Raw genomic sequence first — 23,302 nt, 5'->3', positions numbered from 1 at the left:
ATACAGATGCAGATACAGTGAAAGATACAGATATAGAGATAGATGCAAATACAGATGCAGATACAGATACAGATAGATATAGATACAGAGATAGATGCAAATACAGATGATGCACATGCAGATACAGAGACCTGCAGATACAGAGATAGATGCAAATACAGATGTAGATGCAGATACAGATACAGATGCAGACATAGATACAGAGATAGATACAGATACAGATTCAGATGCAGATACAGAGATAGATACAGATACAGAAATAGATGCAAATACAGATGCAGATACAGATACAGATACAGATGCAAACATAGATACAGAGTTAGATACAGATACAGATTCAGATGCAGATACAGACATAGATGCAGATACAGAGATAGATACAGATACAGAGATAGATGCAAATACAGATGCAGGCACAGATACAGATGCAAACATAGATACAGAGATGGATACAGATGCAGATACAGATACAGAGATAGATGCAGATACAGAGATAGATACAGATACAGAGATAGATGCAAATACAGATGCAGGCACAGATACAGATGCAAACATAGATACAGAGATAGATGCAAATACAGATGCAGGCACAGATACAGATGCAAACATAGATACAGAGATAGATACAGATACAGATGCAGATACAGATACAGAGATAGATGCAAATACAGATGCAGATACAGAGACAGATACAGATGCAGACATAGATACAGATACAAAGATGGATACAGATATAGATGCAGATGCAGATACAGAGATAGATGCAAATACAGATGCAGATACAGATACAGATGCAGACAGAGATACAGAGATAGATACAGATACAGATGCAGATACAGATACAGAGATAGATACATATGCAGATGCAGATACAATTACAGAGACAGAGATATATATAGATGCAGATGCAGATACAGATAGATACAGTAGAGATGCAGCTACAGATCGATGCAGGTACAGTTACAGACATAGATACAGACACAGAGATTACAAATACAGATGAAGATACAGATGCAGAGATAGACCTCTTCAGAGAAGTATGGAAGGACTGTAGCTTTACAGTCACATGGACTGAGTTCACATCCCCACTCCTCCTCATCCTAGCTGTGTGGCTTTGGGTAAAGTTACTTAGTCTCTCTGAGCCTCATTTTCCTCAACTATGAAATAAAGATAACAATAACCCCTTCAGGGTTTCCTTAAGAATTGAATAATTATAGCAGCTATTGAAGACTTAAAATGTGAGGCTCTTAGCTAAGGGGTTTTCCTGGATTAATTCATTTAATCCTCACAAGAATCCTCTGTTACTGGTATGGGAAAAATTTGGGCAGCGTGGCTAAGTGATTGCCCCAAGGCAAAGTCCAGCACTGTCCACTAACTCACACAGTCACTCCACTGACCGGGAAAAAGGAATAAGACAATGACTCATGCTAAGTGCTTGGCTTGGTGGCTGGCTGGCAGTGATTCTCAACACATGGTAACTACTCATTATTACTAGTTCCATTGCCCCACGCTTATGCCCCTGCCACTCAAACACACACTCACATATGCACACACTCACACAGGCACACTCATATGCACACACACATTTGCACAAGTCAAACATGCACACTCACATATTCACATGCATACACACATGCACACAAATGCACACATGCTCACACATATATACACACACACTCACACACATGCACACACATTAACATGGACATGCACATTCATATACACATGCACACTTACACATTCACATTCACACATGCACACAAGCTCACACATGTACACACACATTCACACATGAACATATGCACACACAATCTCACACTAACACAGCTATACCACACGAATTCCCACACATATTAGCACACACATACATTTATACACTCACAGTCACATGCACATACACTCACACATATACATGCTTACATTCACATGTGCACACACTCATGGCATACGCCCACATATTTACACTCACACAGTGTACACTCAGATGCACAAGTACACACACATGCTCTTACATACTCAGACATACAATCATGTTCACACGTGCACGTTCACATGGTCACACTCATAACACTCACATGTGCATGCATTCATACACACGCATGCACTCACATGAACATATGCCCATACGCTCGTACATGCACACCCTCACATACACATGGTCAGATACATTCACATATACACTCATACATGCACATAACACATACTCGAACACATTCACACAAGTGTACACTCACACATCCATATGCAGACTCACACGCACACACACTCATACACACTGGCGATTACACAGTGTTTGTCGGGACATCTCACTCCCTTTCCTTCTCCCCTAGACTGCCCTCCATGTTCACTTCTCCCCTGACTTCCCGTGAACGAACGCCTGCAAAGGAAGGAGCATAGTCACTTTTTCCTTCATGTAGGCTGAAGCTCGTCATGATCATTCTGACCCCAATCCAGCTTTGGGCTCAAACCACAGTAACAGCAGCAGCAAAGGTCGAAGATGTACAGACAAGTGATAGAAAAATAAAGTTCTCATCTGTGACCTTCCTTGGGGCTTAGCGTGCACACAAACCACCTGGGGTGTTGTTTAACTGCAGATTCTGATGCAGGAGGTCTGGGTGAGACAAAGATTCCACATTTCCGAGAAGTTCCCAGTGATGCTGCTACTTCTCAGACCACACTTTGAGGAGCAGGTTATAGGATATTTCGGGGTTTGATCCAGATCCAAAGAGTGGAAATTTTTAGAGCACTTTGGGGTGTTGGAGCACTATGTACAGCTTTCAAGACTAAAGTGCTTTCAATGCTCAAATGATTACTTGCCAAAATCCTAAGCAACAACAATCACAAACATTATAGCAAGAAGGGACCTTGAAGGTCTTCAAATCTTTTACCCTCACTTAACAGATGGGGGGACTGAGGCCAAGAAAGGCTGCAGGACTTCCTCAAGGTCACACAGACACTCAGCAGCCAAGTCAGTCTCTAGTGCTTATTCCACTGTTGCCCACTGAGGCAGAAGCACCCTCACCCTGCTGTGGATTATCCAGGCATATGTACTGTGGCATTCCTGGGGATAAAGCCTTGTGAGCGATGGAAGTTCACACCGTTTCTTCTAGCCAATATCCCCTGTTCTTACTTTTCATCAAGATTACCCCCCCGTGTTGTGTGACTCTTGACCAGAAGATGACCCACCACTGAGCAATATGTGCACTCCTTTTATAAGTGGAACTTTCCAGACCAAACTAGAAAATGCTGCCAAGAATCAATAACATAAGGAGCCTCAGACATTTCTGTGCCTCCCAGTGTTTTGTACAGTATCTGGACCACGCATGTTGAACTCCTTGTCAAGATTGCAAGATAAGTAAGAAAGACCTCTAAGAGCTTTGGTCAGGTAGGGGCACAGCCAGAGGCATGTTTAGAGAGCCCTGCAACATACAGGAGGGACTTTGGCCCAGCAGGAAGGCAAGGGGCAGTTTGCAGAGGGAGCCAGGAGGTGGAGATGGCCTTGGAGGATGACCAGAAGCCCTCCAGACATAACAGCAGGAACACCAAGAACAAAGACCAGAAAGCATGATGTCACATGGTGAAGGCAGTCATGCAGCACCCTGCAGCTGGCTTAGAATGGGAAGGAACGACTGGCCAGGGAGACCATGGAAAGGTAGGCTTGGGCCAGCTTGCCAGAGATCTTGACGCCATACAAGACTCTAGGTTTGTTCTGTTGGGGGCTCCCACAATTCCCAGTTCTCCCAGGTTATTACTCAGCAAAGTCATGGACTTCTGTGAGAAGATCCAAGTCTAAAGCTAGCAAAAAGTGGCTATTCCTCCTTGGCAGTTTTTTAACTCCCTCTCCAAGAAAAGTAGATGATCTTTACCTTGGAACTGAATGCTCCTAGGAAATATGTTCCTTTTCCTTTTGTTTTCCCAATTCACTCTGTACTAGGGAAGCCCATAATTAGAAGCATGGCACAAGTCTTAGCCTAGGCATAAGCCATGCTGGATTTCAGTCCTGGCTGTGCTGAGCCATGCTAATGGGACAGGGACACAGCCAATGATGTAGCTGGCTACCTTCAGGTATCAGGTACCCTGAGTAGCTTTTATGAGTGCCCCTTACTCTAGTGATACACAAATGCCTCGCACAGATCATACAGAAAATCGAGTAAAAAAGTGTGAAAGGATGGTGAGGATTCAGCTTCAACTGGAAAAGGATACCCAAACTATGTTCTTCCCTAAGAAGATTCAATGGTGTCATTTATATGAGTAACATGGTTAATACATAAATTTAAATAAGCCCTATATTTGAATTTGCACAAAGTATAAATCTGGGGATGATTTTCTTTTTTCAGACTTATTGAGGTATAATTGACTAATAAAAATTGTATGTATTTAAGGCATATAACACAATGTTTGATATACATATACATTATAAAATGACACCACAATTAACATATCATCACTTCATATAGTTACTATTGTATGTGTGTGTGTGATAACACACATATATATGAAACCCACAGCTAATATCATACTCAACAGTGAAAAGTTGAAAGCTTTTTCTATAAAGGAACAAGATAAGGAGGCCTACACTTACCACTTCCATTTAACATAGCACTGGAAGTCCTCGCCAGAGCAATTAGGTAATAAAAAGAAATAATCTAAATCAGAAAGGAAGAAGTTAAATTGTCTCTGTTTGCAGATGACATAATCTCGTATAATGAAAACCCTAAAGACTCTGCCAAAAACAAAACCTGTTACAACTAGAAAACTAATTCAGTAAAGTTGCAGAATACAAAATTAGCAAACAAAAATTAGTAGGTTGGATGAAATCTTCTGAACATGTGTGTTAGGTCCATTTGGTCTATGATGTTGTTCAAATCGACTGTTTCCTGATTTATTTTCTGTCTGGATGATTTATCCATTGTTGAAAGTGTATTAAAGTCCCACTACTGTAATTATATTGCTATTTATTTCTCCTTCCAGTTCTGTTGACATTTACTTTATATATTTAGGTGCTCCAAAATTTGGTGCATAAATAGTTACTGTTGTTATAGCTTCTTGATGAAGTGACTTTTTTATCATTATATAATGACCTTCTTTGTCTCTCCCTTGGTTGCCATTTGCATGCGATTTTTTTTCACCCCTTTACTTCCAGCCAATGCATATTCTTAAAGCTAACATGAGTTTCTTGTAGGCAACATATAGTTAGATCTTATATTTTTATTTATTCAGCCACTGAATGTCTTTTGATGAGAAAATTTAATCCATTTACATTTAAAGTAATTATTAATAGGTAAGAACTCACTATTGCCACTTTGTTAATTGTTTTCTGACTGTTCGGTACTTCCTTTTTCCTTTGTTCTTCTCTTGCTTCTTCCTTTGTGACTTAATAAATTTTTGTAGTGGTTTGCTGTTACTTTTCTCTGTCTGTTGAGTATCTACTATAGGTTTTTGCTTTGTGTTTACTGTGAGTCTTACAGAAAACCTAATTGTGCAAATCTATATGGAACTGATAACAGCTTATCTTCAATCACATACAGAAACTACACTTTCACTTCCCTCCTTACCTTACATGTTTGTGAGTTCACAATTTACATAGTGCAAAATTTTTAGACAGTGTATCCATTAAGGAAATACTGTATAGTTATCTTTAATTTTATTAATTATTTAATTATTAATTATTTAATATTTAAGTAAGCTATAGTTAGCTTTAATATTTTTGCCTTTAACCTTTATATTAGAGTTAAAGGAGATTTACAGACCCATCATTACAGTATTAGAGTATTTGAATTTGACTATATATTGACCTTTACTGCTGAATTTTATATTTTCATATGGTTTATATTAGTAATTAGTATTTTTGTTTCCAATGAAGAACTCCCTTTAGTGTTTCTTGTAAGGTAGGTGCTATGGTTTGGTTTGTCTCACTCACCCACCCACAATTGTCATGTTGAAATTTGACTTCCAGTGTTGGAGGAGGGGCCTAATGGGAGGTGTTTGGATCATGGAGGTGGATTTCTTACAAATGGCTTGGTGTTGCCCTCATGGTAATGAATAAGGTCTTGCTTTATGCGTTCCCATGAAAACTGGTTGTTTAAGGAGAGTCTGGACCTCCCTCCCCTCTCTCTCACCATGTGGTTGCTGCACATGCCAGCTCCTCTTTGCTTTCCACCATGAGTGGAAGCAGCTTGAGGCCCTCACCAGAGCAGATGTTGGTGCCAAGCTTCTTATACAGCCGGCAGAACAGTGAGCCAGAGAAACCTGTTTTTTAAGGAAATGAATTATCCTGCATCAGTTGTTCCTTTATAGCAACACAAACAGACTAACACATGCCACTTTTCTATTGCGGCTTACAAAATTCTCTCTTTGTCTTTGACTTGATAAGTTGATTATAATGTGTCTTGGTGAAAATTTCTTTGGGTTTAACCTGCTTGGGGACTTTTAAGCTTCATGGGTCTAGATGTCCATATCTCTCCCAAGATTTGGGAAGTTTGCAGCAATTATTTTTTAAAATAAGCTTTCTGTTTCTTTCTCTCCGTCTTCTTTTTCTGAGAGTCCAATAATGCACATATTGGGTCCTTTAATGGTGTCCCATAAGTCCCATAGGCTTTCTTTATTCTTTCTTTTTTTTTTTTTTTTTTTGACAGAGTCTCGCTCTGTTGCCCAAACTAGAGCACAGTGGCACAATCGAGGCTCACTGCAACCTCCTCCTTCCTGGTTCAAGCAATTCTCCCACCTCAGCCTCCGGAGTAGCTGAGACTACAGGCATGCACCATCATACCCAGCTAATTTTTGTATTTTTTGGTAGAGATGGATTTTCACCATGTTAGCCAGGCTGATCTAGAGTATTCCCCCCACCTAAGCCTCCCAAAGTGCTGGGATTACAGGCGTGTGCCACTGTACCCGGCCAGCTTTCTTTACTCTTTTTTATTCATTTTCTCTTTCACCTCTAACTGGGCAATTTCCAAAGACACTTCTTCATGTTCACAGATTCTTTCTTCCACTCTGTTGGGAAGGTTGAAACTCCGCATCGCATTTTTCATTTTATTTATTATATTTTTCAGCCCCAGAAGTTGTTTGGTTCTTTTTTATGATTTTTATCTCTTTGTTGAATTTCTTGTTTTATTCATATGTTGTTTTCCTGATTTCATTGAGTTGTTTATCTATGTTCTCCTGTATCTTACTAAGTTTCCTTAAAATAATAATTTTGAATTTCTTTCCAGATAATTCCTAGATCTCCATTTCTTTGTAATCAGTTACTGGAGAATTATTTGTTCTTTTGGTGATGTCATGTTTCCTTAATTTTCCATGTTTTTTGCAGCCTTGTGTTGATGTCTGAGCACTTGAAGAAGCAGTCACCTCTTCCAGACTTCACAGAATAGCTTTGATGAGGAAAGACTTTCACCAGCAGGTGAGCATAAGGTGCCCAGTCGGGTGGGGTGTGGCAGCTCTGGCTTCAAGGAATGCAGTGTGCAGTCTCTATTTACCTCCATCAGCCTCTAGGCTGGAGGAGGCAAAGACCGTGGGGATCCTTGGTGACCAAGGCTGCAAGTGTTTGAAGTGGTGGTGGTGGCAGCAAGGGCTATTGGGATCTTTGGTGACAAAAGCTGCTAGTGTCCTCTTGGGGCACAATATCTTAGGTCTGGGGAGATGGGGTGTAGCAGTGGCTCAGGCCCCAGGGGGTAGGGTAAGCAGCAGCTGGGGATGAAGGTGCATCTCAGTCACTGGCATCTCGGTGTCATGTCAGTGGACCCAGCCCCAGGAAGAGGGGTACCACAGTGACTTGTGTCTTAAGGATGTCAACGCACAGTGGCAACTGAGGCCCCTGGGGTGGTGTAGCACTGTTATGGCTCAGGCTCTAGGAGGGCCTTTCCCCTGCAGGAGATTCCTCTTGGTTCTGGGCCTGGCACAGTCTGCGGGCAGTCATAGCAGTGCTAGATTTGAGGATACAGATGCTCAGAACAGCTACAGAGCCAAGTACGGGACTCAGGGGATTACAGAACTGCTGTGCATCCATGGGTCCTATGGCTTTGGTGCACCTGCTAAGGCACGGCCATGTGCAGACTGCTCACAGAGCTGGGGTCAATGATTCTAGGAGGCACCTCAGTAGCTTGGGCCTGGGGAGATGAGGCATGGCAGTGGCTCAGGCCCCAGGGAGTAGGGTAAGCAGCAGCTCAGCCCTGGGGATGAAGGTGTCAGTGGATGTCAGTGGCATGTCAGTGGCTGCAACCCCGAGAGGAGGGGTGCCACAGCAACTTGGATCCTAAGGCTGTCAGGGCACCGTGGCAATGGAAGCCGCTGGGGTGGTGCAGTGCTGTTGTGGCACAGGCCTAGGAGGGAGAGGGCTGCTGCCACTCATGTCCAGGCATGTCAGAACACCATGGCGGTAAGGCTCCAGGGACAGCAGGGTGCAGCCATGACTAGGGCCCCAGGGGCAGGGTACAGTGCTGGTGACTTCAGTTCCTGGGACGGCTGGGCCTGCAGCAGCCTAGAGCTCAGAGCTCTTTACGTGATTTCAGAGGGTCCTAGTGCCTCTGGTGTGGTTCCTCAAGAACACAGATATCAGCTCCATTTCCAGGATCCGTCTGAAAAGATGATAATGTTTCAGTCTGTGTTCTGCCCTCCTGTTCTTTGCTGAGCTGTGCTGCATAGCAGGAATAATGATTTTTAGTAGGAAAAGTTTGCCCCTTCATTGAAGATTCACACTTTGTGATTTTCTGCCTCAAACTGTTAATACATTTTCCCGGCTGCAGCAGCTTAGCATTTCATCTCGTCATTTTATGATGATGTTGTCCATACCCACATCAGACCTGGAGCCCCAGAAGGACGCTCCCGGTTCTACAAGCCGAGAAGACCCTTTCCAGGTAGCCCCGTGACCTGTTCATGCCAAGTAGGATGCGTCTCCCTGCCACCCTTTGGCGTGGAAGTCGGGGCAGACGTGTTCCCCACGTTTACAATGGGGGAGGGTAGGCATTGTGGGGTGCTTGGTTCCCTGTGATGCTTTTCCTTTACAGAGAACCTTGTAGAAGTGATTGGATTTCACGTGTAGACAGAGAGAAGTTTACAGAGAAGCAATGATGGAAGCAGGGTTCCAGTGAGGTTTCTAAAAACCTGGTGGCACTCTCCCAGACATCGGTCTGGCACTTCCTAGCACCACAGTGAGAGGCTGGACACGGTCCAGATGCCCAGGAAGGCTCTGCCTTGTGTGAGCGCCAGCCCTGCCCTGAATCCCAGAGCCTAATTCTGGACTGTCTTACTTCAGGGACCCTTTCTGAGGTGCCTGCACTCTGTATAGCTCACTCATATAGCCATACGAGTGACTTACCGTTTCTCACAGCAGCTATGCAGAGCCAGTCTCTGCAGTTTCTGCCTCCAGCCCGTCATTCTCCCCTCCTGTCTCCATGGGACTTTGCTCACAATTCCATGCTGTACAGAGCACGTGTTTCTGTTTCCTACCAGGCTGTAGGCTACTCGAGGCCAGGGACTTTGCTTTAAACACCTGCCTGTTATTCTAGTGCTTTGGAGCCTTGAGGAAGCAGATGTTAATCCAGGCGTGTTCTATTGGCTTCCTGAGAACATCGTAGAGGCTGGGGTGAGACCCTTAAAGTAACAAGTGATACAGGCACACTTACTCAACTGGGGCCTGTGGAAGACACATCAGAGGTATAGTAATACACTTTGGAAGCAAGTACTAAAGGGGAGCCCCACAGCTACAATGTGCCTCCCTTAGCAAGATATCAGCTTCCTGCAAAGTCATACACAAGGCACCTTGAAATCAACCAAGCATTAGTTTGAATACAAGTTGGGGCCCTTGTTATTAAAATCCACCCTGTGGACTGTCCCTTGGTAAAGTATAAAACCATTCCCAAGGTGACATCAGCAAGATGGTGGACTAGGAGATCTCAGTGCTTCCCCCCGCCCCACCCACAAAACAACAAAACAACACAAAGACACTACACACCATGGAAACCACGCTGGGATAGCTCCAAGACAGCAGAGAAGCCGCAGAAACCTTGTGGAGAGCAGAAAACAGAGATGCCACTCTGCTCTGCCACCCCATTCCCCCATGGGGAGCAGCTTGGAGCCGAGGAGGGATCCTCTCAGAGAGATTTCTCCCTGCAGGGAAAAGGTGAGCAGGATCCTGGTGGTCTCCATCACCCCTGCAGAACCCACAGCCTCCACCACAGGCACCTCTGTGTTAGTCAGTGAGGCTCTGCACAATGAAGAGAGATGCTCAGAGTCCACACTGCTGCGCTTCCCTGAAAGAAGGGGCCACTGTCATGCCCCCCGCCTGGGGCCTGAGTTGCTGCTGCACCTGCCCCACCCTTCCCCAGAGCCTGGGCTGCTGTGACACCCCCAGCCCTGAGCCCAAGTTACCTCTACCCCCAACTCTTGGGTCCAAGTTACCTCCACCTCCTACCAATGGGTCCAAGTTACCTCCACCTCCCACCCCTGGGCCCAAGTTACATCCACGTCCCACCCCTGAGCCTAAGTTACCTCCACCCCCCACCCCCAGTTCCAAGTTACCTCCACCCCGCCCCCTGGTCCTAGGTTTCCTTGCCCCCTGCCCCTGGGGCCAAGCTGCCACAGGGTTATGTGCACCCCAGGGCTAAGTCACTCTGTGCACCACCATCCCCAGGGCATCACTGCTACTGGATCCACCCCAGAGTGACCTCAGACGGGAGCTGTGGAGACACCAAGGTGCCCAACAGATTAGACAAAAGGCAGATGAGGAAACAGACAGCACCAACTCCCTCTTGAGGGATGATGGAAAGCAAGCACTGTTGCTACACCCAATCCCTGGAGCTGGGTGTGTGGACACGGTGCTCAGGTTGGCTTTCGGTAAGCGGCAGGTGGCTCCCTGTCACAGTGTGTGAGAGCCACCATCTCCTCCCTGCTTGTCTTTAAGTCTTGAGAGCAGTAACCCCACAGGTGTTCTTTATGGTCCACTGGCAGGCCCCAGGCGACAGCTGGAGTTAAGATTCTGGGGCCAGAGGAGTGGAGCCTGTTACAGACACAGACTTTTCTGAATGTGCAAAACCGCACGAGCAGAATCACTCCTGCGGAGGAAGCCACCCGGAAAATCCCATCTCAGAGTAGGAGGGAGGCCAGTGGGACAGCCCCACACTTCCAAGAGTGTCTTTAGGAGGATAACTGCCTTTTTTTTTATCGGATTGACGAGGCACAGTGGGCATTAAGAGTGAACTACGCACCTGTTAAAGGAAGCATATGCCCTCCCAGCCCCTGGGAACAGCTGTGGGACTTGCAACATATCTCCTCCCCTTTAGCTACATCCGTGTCACACCCTGTCCCTTCACCCCTACAACCATAAATCCTTCTGACAGACAGCAGAGAGCCCTGGACTCGGAGTGACGGTGGGAGAGCCAGGACCCCAGGACCGTGGTGGACACGCGAGACCTGTCACATGGGCAGAGGAAGAGAAGACGGGGAGGGGACACTGAGGGATGTGGCAGGAATTCCTGGGGCAACCCTGGTCTTCTGAGCCAAGTAGAAGAGGGGTGGGTCAATGAAAGTGGAGACCCAGGCTGGGTGCAGTGGCTCATGCCTGTAATCCCAGCACCTTGGGAGGCCAAGGCAGGCAGATAACCTGAGGTCAGGAGTTTGAGACCAGCCTGCCCAACATGGCAAAACCCCATCTCTTCTAAAAACACAAAAATAAGCCGGGCATGGCGGCGGGTGCCTGTAATCCCAGCTATTCGGGAGGCTGAGACAGGAGAATCACTTGAACCCAGGAGGCGGAGGTTGCAGTAAGCCGAGATCACACCACTGAACTCCAGCCTGGGCAACAGAGCAAGACTCTCAAAAAGAGAAGGGAAGGGAAGGGAAGGGGAGGGGAGGGGAGGGGAGGGGAGGGGAGGGGAGGGGAGGCAAGGGGAGGGGAGGGGAGGGGAGGCGAGGGGAGGGGAGGGACACACTAAGAGCCCCAGGCCTGGGGGCACCAGAGAATAGGAGACAGGAGGCTGGAGAGCGGGCAGGGAAGGAGGGAGGTGCAGGTCCCCTGCTCTCCCAACATTGAGGGAGGGACTTGTGCCTGTGCAGGCAGCAGGAAAGCTCCAGGCACCTCCTGTTCTTCCCTGAGGCCTCAGGGCCTCCTGCCAGGGCCTTCTTCCCACAGGCCCTTGCAGAGACTCCCTGCAGGACTGCAGAAGCGTGTCCCACACACCTGCCTCCTACCTGAGAAACACCCTCTGTTCCTGAACGCAGAGCCTCACCAGCGGGCGATCTGTCCGCGCTTCCCTGAACACACTCCGTTTTTCCGTTTCCGTGGCTTTAAAGCCTTCCCAGTGCTCAGAGCAGCAGCATCCTCAGCAGCCAAGGCGGGGAAACAACCCAGGTGTCCATCCAGGGACCCATGGGCGAAGAATGCGGCCACACACAGAGGAATGTCATTCTGCCTTCAAAAGGAAGGAAATTCTGACATCCCGCCACAACACCCACAACACGGGTGAGTCTTGAGGACCTTATGCTCCGTGAAGGAAGCCACTCACCAAAGAACAAACGCTGCGTGATTACACTCAGATGAAATATCTAAAATCCAGAGACAGAGAAGGCGGGCTCGAGGTTCTCACGGCTGCGGGGAGGAAGGTGTGGGGAGGTCTTCCCTAATAGGTACAGAGCTGCTGTTTGCGGTGATGAAAAAGGTTTGGAAGTAAATAGTGGGTTTCACAACGTTGTGAATGCAATTAATGCCACGGAGTTGTACACTTAAAAATGGTCTTAAAGGGCAAATTTTGTTATCCATATTTTGCTAAATGTTTCGTAAGTTAATAAAACGATGTAACAAAAACCATTGAATTGTACACATTAAATGGGGGAATTGTATAGTATTGTGAATTATATCTCAATAAAGCTGTTTAAAGGTGAGCACCCTTTCCCAACCCACAAAGACCCACGTGGTCTGGACCCCCACCCTCGCCCTCGGCCCTGCAGTCACGGCTCTCCCCGGGACCTGGGCTCCGTCTCACAGTCTCCTCAGCGAATCTCTGATTGCTCTGCTACATTATAATCAACTCCTTGACATTCGAGACAGTGTTTCCTTCCCCTCTGAGCCCCCCACATCACCCCCCACAGTGTGTCCTTCTTCCCAAGTAAAGATGCGTCAGCCCCTGTGTCGGCAGATGGTGCCCTGAGAGCCAACAGCCAGCCTTGTGGTCTTGTGAAGAGGAACCGCCCGGTCTCCTACCTCACAACCTCTCCACCTCACAACATCTCCAACTCACAACGTCTCCACCTCACGACCTCTCCACCTCACGACCTCTCCACCTCACGACCTCTCCACCTCACGACATCTCCCATCTCACAACGTCTGCCACCTCACAACGTCTCCACCTCACGACCTCTCCACCTCACGACCTCTCCAACTCACAACCTCTCCACCTCACAACGTCTCCACCTCACAACATCTCCCACCTCACAACGTCTCCACCTCACAACATCTCCCACCTCACAACCTCTCCACCTCACAATGTATCCACCTCAAAACGTCTCCACCTCACAACCTCTCCACCTCACAACATCTCCACTTCACATCTCCACCTCACAAGGTCTCCACCTCACAACATCTCCCATCTGGAGACGTCTCCCACTTCACAGGGTCTCTCACCTCACAATGTCTCCACCTCACAACGTCTGCATTTCACAACGTCTCCACGACCAGACACTCTGATATTCTCCAACCCATCCACCTAGTCCACCCAGGTCCAAGACATCTTTCCATGCTTTACTGGTCTCTCTGCTTTCATCCAAGCTCCTGGAATCTGTTCTCAACACAGCTCCAAACTGATCCTGTTAAAGCATAAGTCAGATCATTCTTCTGCCAAAACCCTCCAAGGACCCCACTTCTCTCAGCGTCAGAGCAGAAGTCCCAGAGTGGACTCCAGGGTCCTACAGATTTGCCCCAGCACTTCTCCAACCTCTTCTCCCTCAGCACACCCCTACCAAGCCCACGCTGCCACAGGCCTTTGCATGAACCACCCCTCCTCCCAGAATGCTCCCCCAGAATTCTGCCAGGCTCACTACACACACCCCGGCTTCCCCTTCTGCTCAGTCGGCGTCTTCTCAAAGGTCCCATCCAGATGCCTCATGCAGCTTGCATCATCTCACTACCCCAAGCATACCCAGGTCTTTACCTGGCTCTATTTTTTCTAAAACTACATATTACCTTTGTTGATTAAAGAAAAAAACATAAGCTTTTAAAGATTTAAAGTTAGTTTTTTTTGTTTTGTTTTGTTTTGTTTTGTTTCTTACAGAGTCTCACTCTGTCGCCCAGGCTGGAGTGCAGAGGTGCAATCTCGGCTCACTGCAAGCTCCGCCTTCTGGGTTCACGCCATCCTCCTGCCTCAGCCTCTCGAGTAGCTGGGACTATAGGTGCACGCTGCCATGCCCGGCTAATTTTTTATATTTTTAGTAGAGATGGAGTTTCACCGCCCGCCTTGGCCTCCCAAAGTGCTGAGATTACAGGCAGGAGCCACTGCACCTGGCCAAAGATTTAAAGTTAGTTTTATTAGAAGTCTTATTGAGAACTACAGCCTGAGGCCTCCAGTCGGGGAGTCCGGGAGTGGTCTTTTAGATGGGTTTTAGGAGACTACTTGAATCCAGTGTTTTGGTTTATGGTTCACATGCAGGTGGTAAAGATTGAGTATAGGTAAAATTATGTTGAAGTTCAGGTGTGAGAGCATATCTGGTTGTAGTTATAGAAGGAAAGTTATTAATTTTGTTGGACATTTTATGTATTGAGGGACAGGGCTGCAGTCCCTGGACAAACAGAGGCTATCAGGGAAAAGAATAGAGAATGTCCAACGAGCCCCGCACTGCATGTGAGGGCGACTGTTCTGAAAAGCAGGAAAATCAGGGGTGCCGGGGAGCTGTGCCCCTAGGTGAGAGTCAGGAGCCTTCATCCCCAGGGGACCGGGCTGCCAGACCCGATAAGAGATGCTGCAGGACCCGTCGGGCGCCATCATCCTCCTGTGAAAGAGCTGGTCCTGCTGAGCAGGAAGTCCGGGTCTACCCCCGGGAGCTCACGGTGAGGCACCTGGGCAAGTGGGAGGACCCCTGAGCCCCAGATTCCCGCTCACAGAAGAAATCTACTAGTAACGACCAAATAGGGATGTGGTGAAGACAACTAACCCATGCAAAGCCACGTGGAATGGCCTTTCTCTTCCCAGACCTGTGAATTGTGGACAGCCTGCATTCACTTCCAGGTTTCTAGCGGGGAAAACCCAAAAACTGGAAAACCTGGACCCCTCTCTCTCTCTGTGACCACAGATAGAAATCGGGAGGTGAGGAAGGGAAGCAGGTGTCTGGACCCAGGACCCTCACCTGGCTTAAGTGCAGGTGTGCATCTGCCTTACACAGGAGGGGCTTCCTCTGAGACATGGGCTCCAGATGCTGCCTTGGGGACAGGCAGGGCCCCACCAGGAAGACAGGCCTCCAATTCCAGGGAGAGAGAGTTCTTGCCCGGAGAGCCCCAAAGGTAACCTGACCATTCTGTCCAGGGTTCAGGAGACTTGCATTACCCAAGGAGCTGTCCCAGGCCATGGGCGGAGAGGGGCAAGGAGGGGACGGGGAGTGATGTGCTCGGGCTGGGGCATGGGGAGGACGGGCCGCTAGGAAGAGCAGAATGGCGACCTCAGCGGGGAAACATCCCCAGTGCCTACGGAGAGATAGGAAAAGGCCCAAGCAGGTTCCATGCCCTCGTGGAGCTCGGGGGCGCTGAAGTCCCAGCTGCCCGGGATCTTCCATGGAAGCACGTCTGGAGGTTTGCCCGAACTCTTGGTGCATGTTCTGAGTCTCTGCCACTGTCAGGTCCCTGGGTCTTCGACACAGACCCATGTTAGGGCAGCTTTGGTTTAGTAACTTCCTCCAGAGATTCTCAGAGTCAGAAAGTGGAGAAACTGGAATTGGGCCCCGCTCATGTTCTTCCAAGCCATGCCGCCTCCCAACGCCCTTCCGGCTCCAGTTCAAGAGCGGGGGAGGGGGACCCGGAGGGAACACCCAGGAACGCTGTGGTTAATCATTGCTGGGCTCCTGGGGCCGTCCAGAGCTCTTAAGGAAGTGGCCTGAGGATGCCGCCAGCTCGAGGGAGGCCCCTAGCTGGACATCAGAGACATTTTTCATCCACAGGCAGGCGGCGGGGGTGCAGTCCTCATGCCGGCCAGGGATCAGGTCTCAGGGTAAGGAGGGCAAGGCCTGTGGGGTGAGGGGGCGATGGCCTGCCCAGGACCCCAGCTACACAGGGCCTGGCCTGCCAGAAGTCAGGGCCAGCCACTCTTCATGGAGTTCCCCACCCAGCACCCCAGAAGTCACCTGAGAGTCCCCATAAGGTGGCCAGCACCACTCAGCAGGGCTAAGCCCACCACATGAGTGCCGGGCTCACGTCCCCCAGGCTTTCTGAGTTGAGGAATAAGCACTGACCACACGCAGGGGCAGCCCGTCCCCCATGTCCTTCTGTGGACCTGACCCCTTGCCAGCTGGCCTGGGTGCAGTGTGGGTTGGCCGACACTGCTCGTCCACACTCTGACCCCAGGGGACGCTTGCCCCATTCTGGATGCTTTCTCTCATCCCTTCCCGGTCTCTTTTCTTGGGAAAATGTCCAGCAGGTGCTGATGGAGCACATCAGTTGAGTTCATCCTACTCATGTCCCCCCCAGGAACCCCACAGCCCTGGCCTAGGCCAGCAGGCCCCGCAGACACCAGGCCCCGCGGACACCAGGCCCTGCAGGTGCCAGCCTCTCCATGCCCCCACACCACAGGCCTCGGGTCCACAGACAGTTGCTGAGAAGTGAAACTTCCCTAACCTGAAAATCTGAAATCTGAGATACTCAAGAATCGGAAATTTTCCGAGCACCGTCACAAGGCCACGAGCAGAAAATTCCACGCACAGCTCGAAACTCAGGCGCACAACACACACTTGCTGCAGCGTCCCTGAGGGGAGACACGTTACCTGTTACCTTCAGGCTGCGTATAGACAGCGCATATGAAACATAAATGAATTTTGGGTTTCGACTTGGGTGCCATCCCCAAGATATCCCTTATGCAAATATGCCAAAATCCAAAACAGTCGGAAATCCAAATCACTGCAGCCCCAAGCATTTGGATAAGGGAGACTCAACCTGTGCTAAGCGGCTGAGTTCTAAGCATGAGGACCTTGCCAGGGGGCAGGCCTGGTCCCCGCCCTTGAGAACAGGGGTGTCTCATGGGCTTACCGTCCGTAAGTGTAAAACAGAGCCTATGCCAAAACAAAACAAAACAAAACAACTCACAGACGCGCCCCTGAACGCTGAGGACACCAAGGTCAGCCCCTACTCTGCCCTGACCTGCTATGTCTGCAGCTCCCAGACCTGAGACGTGGATGAAGGTAAGCTGGGCCCAGCCGCTTCTTGGGGTCTCCGTGAAGATTTCCTCTGGGGAATCTCGAACAGTTTCACTTGAAGGACATCTCATGTGTGTCACTGTTGTCTCCTGGATACATTTGTAGGCAATGGCTCCATGAGGGACAGAGGGTCCTGGCCTGGTGTCCTCGGTCCTCCCTGGTCAGTGAGTCTGGGATGTGTTTCTTTGGCCCGTTCTGCACGGAAAGGAGCCCTCACCTGAGGCCCTGAACTCCCTCTTCACTCCCTGCTTCTGGCATCTCCTTTGCCCTGGCCTGCCCCCATCTCAGTGCTGACCACCCTTCCATGAAGTTCCTGTCCTAGCCCCCGCAGGACGTCACTCCTCCTGCCCTGGGCCCCGAAAGCCCTCGCGCTTGTTGTTGATGTTACACAAATCAGCGTTTGGTGCACGCAGTCTTTACTCCTGAAGGAGGAGCTAAGCTCTGTGTGGGCCAAAACAAAGAAATGACTTTTTTTTTTTCTTTTTGAGACAGGGTCTCACTCTGTCACCCAGGCTGGAGTGCAGTGGTGCGATCTCAGCTCACTGCAACCTCCGCCTCCCGGGTTCAAGCAATTATCCAGCCTCAGCCTCCTGAGTAGCTGGGATTACAGGCACACGCCACCACACCCGGCTAATTTTTATATTTTTAATAGAGACGGATTTCACAATGTTGGTCAGGCTGGTCTCAAATTCCTGACCTCGTGATCTGCCCACCTCAGCCTCCCAAAGTGCTAGGATTATAGGGGTGAGCCACCGCTCCCGGCCCTACTATTTGTTTTTTATGTATCCTCCACCTCCATCACCACCATAATGTAGACACTTGGTAAACACCTGTGGTTGGGGAAGAAGGAAATAGCTCTAAGGGGAAAGGTGCTGGTTTCCTGCTACCCTGACATGTCATCGGGGAGAGGAAGGACGTCATTCCAAGATATCTGTAACACAGGAGGATGAGGGAGAAAGGAAATGTCTGCCCACCGCAGCTTCTCCCATCTTACTGCAGATGATTTAATATCAAACGAGGTGGAAACGATGCTGGCAACTTATTTCTGGCCCACATCCTCACACCCAGGACAGAGCATGGTACTGAGGACACAGGTAGGATCTGTGGGCTATGATAGGAATTCACTTTTCCACTTCCAAGGTGAAGTTCTTCCAAGAATAAAAATTAATGATTTTCCTCAAAAATTGAAGGGGCTGCTGGGCACAGTGGCTCACGCTTGTAATCCCAGCACTTTGGGGGGCCGAGGCAGGAGGATCACCTGAGGTCAGGAGTTTGAGACCAGCCTGGCCAAGATGGCAAAACCCTGTCTCTACTAAAAATACAAAATTTAGCCAGGCATGATGGCATGCACCTGTAGTCTCAGCTACTTGGGAGGCTGAGACAGAAGAATTGCTTGAATCCAGAAGGTGGAGGTTACGGTGAGCTGAGATCATGCCACTGCACTCCAGCCTGGGTGACAGAGGGAGACTGTCTCAAGAAAAAAAAAAAAAACAACTGAAGAGGCTGAGGAAAGTACAGGTGAAGACACACCAGAGGGTGAGCACCTGCCAAGCTAACGTCCCAGGGATATAACCTCCACCCTCCTGTTTCTCAGCCGCTACAGCCCTGGGGGCTGTCACTGAACCAAAGGGGTAGCAAAACATTGGCAGTCGGCCTTAAGAGACAAAACTGTAAAAACCAGGACAGTTTAACTGCCAGTTCATGCAAACCAAACAGAATGCTGTTTAGTGACAAATTGGTCACTACTGAAGATGGGCAACAGCACCCAGGGTGTACAGAAACACACGCACACCGTGGGTGAGGAATAAAAGTGTCAACACAGGCGTGGTCTATTGTCTGCACATATTGGTCAGCACGTGGACCTTCATCCTGAGACACATGTGCCCACGGGATTGCATCGTCTTCCCTTTGGGGCAGGCAAGGAAGGAAAGAACGGGACATCACTCACCTTTCAGGGAGGAATAGGGCTTAGTCCACAAAGCCAAGAACTGGTCTTCGATGAAACCAGGCCAAGCAGGCAGCACTCCAATGCCATGTAACCCAGAAGCCAGCTTGCCAGAGATGACATAAGAAAACCTAAAAGTGAGATAATTTTTCAAGGGTCACTTGTCAAAAAAGGCAGAAAAATCCAACGCAAGGGCAGTCCAGAAGGCGCCGAGGTACCTGGAGACGACTGAGCCAGCTAAGTGACCGTGTGAGTTACGTTCCATCTCTGAGGCTCCAGCCTTCGTATCGATGGGGACAGGTGCCCGCGTGGAACAAACACACTCAGTTCTGACAACAGCACAGACTTGGACTTTCTCTACACAGGTAGGGCCACTCCTTCTGAAGAGGTTTGTCCTTCCACACAGGCTCCCGTTCCAGTCATGCAGCCGTCAACACCTGGGTTCAGAATCTGAAGTACGCTTTTCAGATATCCTCAGAAGAGACCGAGAGTTGTCCTTTAAGGATGAATTTCATCTTCTGAAGCGACCAGAGATATCAGAAGCCAAATGCAGTGACTACAATGAGCTGTCCAGCACGGTCAAACTACAGAAGAGCTCGGCTTCCTGAGGTGAGGACTTTGAAGGAAAAAGCGCTCATGGGGATGTGTGTGGTCAAGTGTATTGGATAAAGAAAAATCGGTGTTCTTTCCTTGCTAGGTGTGTGTGTGTGTGTGTGTGTGTGTGCCTGCTCGCTGGCACATCTCACACTTTGTTTTGAAGCCTCGGAGAGCTAACAGACTCACTAGTAAATGCACTGGGGAGTCTACTATTACTAGCCCATCCCTTTTGAAAGCAAATATACCTTCAAATAGATACGTTTTGTTTTGATTATGTCTCAGATCTGTTTAAAATAGGACCTAGCTGAATCCGGCAGAAATGCACATGCATTCAAAATACACTTTGAGAGTCTGTGAACTCTAAGCAGAAAACTGCTCACAAATTCCAATAAACTCTTCCAGTTTTCTATGACAAGAAGGGAAACAGCTGCAGGAAGCTTCCAGGACAGGGAACCGGTGGTGGTTGCTAACTTCTGGAAGGAACATCTTCTCAAGACTCCTTGGTCGTTTCTACCATCCGACCTCTGATTCTCCTCACCAAAGCCTCTACACGGCAAAGGTCCTCTTAGCTGAGAGCAGAGCTTAGTATATGAGCATTAAAGCATGCTGGGAATTAGAAGTTTGGCCTGTCTCTGCACATAGCTGCAAATGAACTTTATCAGAGTTCAGGGGAAAACAGTCTTCAGGTAAACAGGAACATGTGCCAGTGGAAATCCCAGCCGTTTGTATACTGAGCAATGAGAGAAGATTTCTTCTTTGACAGCACGACGGATACCATCATAAAACAGTCCTGCGATCGCAGCAGAGAATCTGTCTGAAGAGCAAACCCAGTGCTGCACCTGCACATCGAGCAGGTTCTGCCCTCCTGTGATGTGTGGTACCCAAAAGTCAGCCTCCCTCACCAGGAACTGGGTAATAGTCCCCGGAGGTAATGGTTCCGAGATGGCCACAGCCCTCCAGATCACCAAAATTAATGACTTCGCTTAGCATATTTGCGTAGCTTCATCCAGATTACCATCATCAAGATACAGTAAGTAAAGAACTGCTGACTTCAGAGAAGCCTGATTCACACTCTTCGTTTCCCATATCTCTGCTGTAACTTTATAATAAGCCATCTGCACTATGACTTGGAGCTTGGCTTCCAGTATCCCACTGAAATGAGCTCATGTGTCTGACCCTAAATCCTTAACCACAGAAGAATAGGAGAGCTACTGGGCTTCGTGGTGACCCTGGAATTCAGTGCCGAGTCCTCCCACTTTCATGCCCTCCCCACAAAAGAGCTGTCATAGACAAGGCAGTTTTTAAGACTACCATGACAAATGCACTGATCTAATGCAGTTATAGGAGTTAAAATGGTTTTCTCATTGAAAGTTTCACTTTATAAGTTTGTATACAATCAGTCATAGCCACAAAGACGTGTGTCCACCAAAAATAAGTCACCTAACTTAGGTTAAGAACCTAACATAATTGTTTTTGGAAAGATTCTCACCTAGTACTTACCACACTTCATGTGTTCACTTATTTTTGTCATCTGATAACACTTGATAAGAGATGCCACAGTTTAAGAAAATTCCATGGGTCATAAGCTTAGCGTGGAGGGAATTACATCCATTAACTTATATTTCTAATTCAGTTCATTGAGCTTTAAACCTTTATTATCACAAATGATTCCGGAAAACAACCAAAGCCACTCTATTTTCTCTAGGAACCTCTCAGTTCAGTCACAGAGCTACAGTGCTTTCCAGAACCATCATTTTGAGACATCCTGAACCACAACTTTCTGTCTCACCTCCCAAAAATCTGAAGCACTTAATACTGCTTTGAAAGAAGACCCACACTATCATGAACAACATAAGAAAGGTCGGGCGCGGTGGCTCACACCTGTCATTCCAGCACTTTGGGAGGCCGAGGAGGGCAGATTACCTGAGGTCAGGAGTTCAACACCGGCCTGACCAGCATGGTAAAACCCCATCTCTACTAAAAAAATACAAAATTAGCCGGGCGTGGAGGCGCATGCCTGTAATCCCAGCTACTCAGGAGGCTGAGGCAGGAAAATCGCTTGAACCTGGGAAGCGGAAGTTGCAGTGAGCCGATATCGCACCATTGCACTCCAGCCTGGGCAACAAGATTGAAACTCGGTCAAAAAAAAAAAAAAGAAAACAGAAAAGAAGAGCAAATTCTGACTGTATTTGTTTGTGCTCCAAGACAACCTGCATCAAAAAACAAGTAAGCAGGTCCCACAACCATTAACAGTAATCATGAGCACGGCATTAGTTCTATTTCTCTGTACTGGTCAATTCTCTTCTATACTGATTATCTCACTCCTACACCCAGTGTATGCATTCCTTGAGCCACATGCAAACCTGTGGGATAGTAAAGGGACACTCTCCCCCTTTACAATAAGAGCATGTAGCTAAGAAGTGGCTTTCCCAAGGTCACTGAGATCAGGGGAGACCACACTGGATCTCCCTCCTAAGCCCCATCCCAGCATCACAGGGAAAGAAATTGGATGGCAATGCAGGGGCCCCAGTGCCCAAAAAGTGAGCATGTTTGAAGAGTCTTGGCCTCTGTCACCCTTTATGAAAAGCAAAGTCAGCCAGGCGCGGTGGCTCATGCCTATAATCCCAGCACTTTGGGAGGTCGAGGCAGGTGGATCACTTGAGGCCAGGAGTTCGAGAACAGCCAGGCTAACACGGAGAAACCCTGTCTCTACCAAAAATACAAAATTAGCCAGGTGTGATGGCAGGCACCTGTAATCCCAGCTACTCAGGAGGCTGAGGCAGAAGAATCACTTGAACCCTGAAGGTGGAGGTTGCAGTGAGCCAAGATCACACCACTGCACTCCAGCCTGGGCAAAAGAATGAGACTCCATCTCAAAAATATAAAAAATAAATAAAAATAAAAATTTTAAAAAAGAAAAGCAAAGTTGAGAAGAGTCATTATTTGAACAATTAGCTGACAAAGACTCCAGCAAAAAGCTGGCTCTGTGATTGGGTTTCTCTTAGTTGAAATGGGCATTGTCATGTACACACTGTGACTCAAAGCCGTCTATGCCAGCAAGGCCCAGGTAGCCAACGTGAAGAAGAAAATGTGTTCTCCCAGGCTAAACAGTCAAGGCAACTCCAGTGTCCCAGACCACCCTGCTAAAACCACATAGAGACAGATGAATCACTCACATGGTGTTCCAGTGATGTCTTCATTGGTGAGGTTTGGGGACATCACTTAAAATTCATCAAGCGCTTGACAAGTATTTATTAAATACCCTTTGTGTGCCTACACCAGGGCTGGGAGTTGGGGTTGGGGGACATGGTGGGATCTGGGAGGCATGTTACACAGAGGCTCCTCCCCAGGACCCTCCCCATTCCACAGCAGCCTCCACAG

At 48.2% G+C, this 23,302-nt stretch overlaps 3 annotated features.

The window, feature by feature from the left end:
• Positions 12,272 to 12,472: a silencer, noted in NCBI's record as "peak6864 fragment used in MPRA reporter construct". NCBI's record gives its function as "represses an SCP1 promoter by STARR-seq MPRAs in K562 erythroleukemia cells {active_cell/tissue: K562}" and the evidence as "EXISTENCE:reporter gene assay evidence [ECO:0000049][PMID:32103011]".
• Positions 14,433 to 14,580: a silencer, noted in NCBI's record as "fragment chr7:155638472-155638619 (GRCh37/hg19 assembly coordinates)". NCBI's record gives its function as "represses an EF-1alpha promoter that drives an FKBP-Casp9 reporter gene in an ReSE screen in K562 erythroleukemia cells {active_cell/tissue: K562}" and the evidence as "EXISTENCE:reporter gene assay evidence [ECO:0000049][PMID:32094911]".
• Positions 18,918 to 20,117: an enhancer, noted in NCBI's record as "BRD4-independent group 4 enhancer chr7:155632935-155634134 (GRCh37/hg19 assembly coordinates)". NCBI's record gives its function as "activates an origin of replication core promoter dependent on BRD2, P300/CBP, MED14 and CDK7 cofactors, and independent of BRD4, by STARR-seq in HCT116 cells {active_cell/tissue: HCT116}" and the evidence as "EXISTENCE:reporter gene assay evidence [ECO:0000049][PMID:35650434]".

Source organism: Homo sapiens, chromosome 7, assembly GCF_000001405.40.
Source record: "Homo sapiens chromosome 7, GRCh38.p14 Primary Assembly".
NCBI classification, from domain to species: domain Eukaryota; kingdom Metazoa; phylum Chordata; class Mammalia; order Primates; family Hominidae; genus Homo; species Homo sapiens.
The sequence above is the reverse complement of the archived record's forward strand: the minus strand, read 5'-3'. Positions and strand labels throughout refer to the sequence as shown.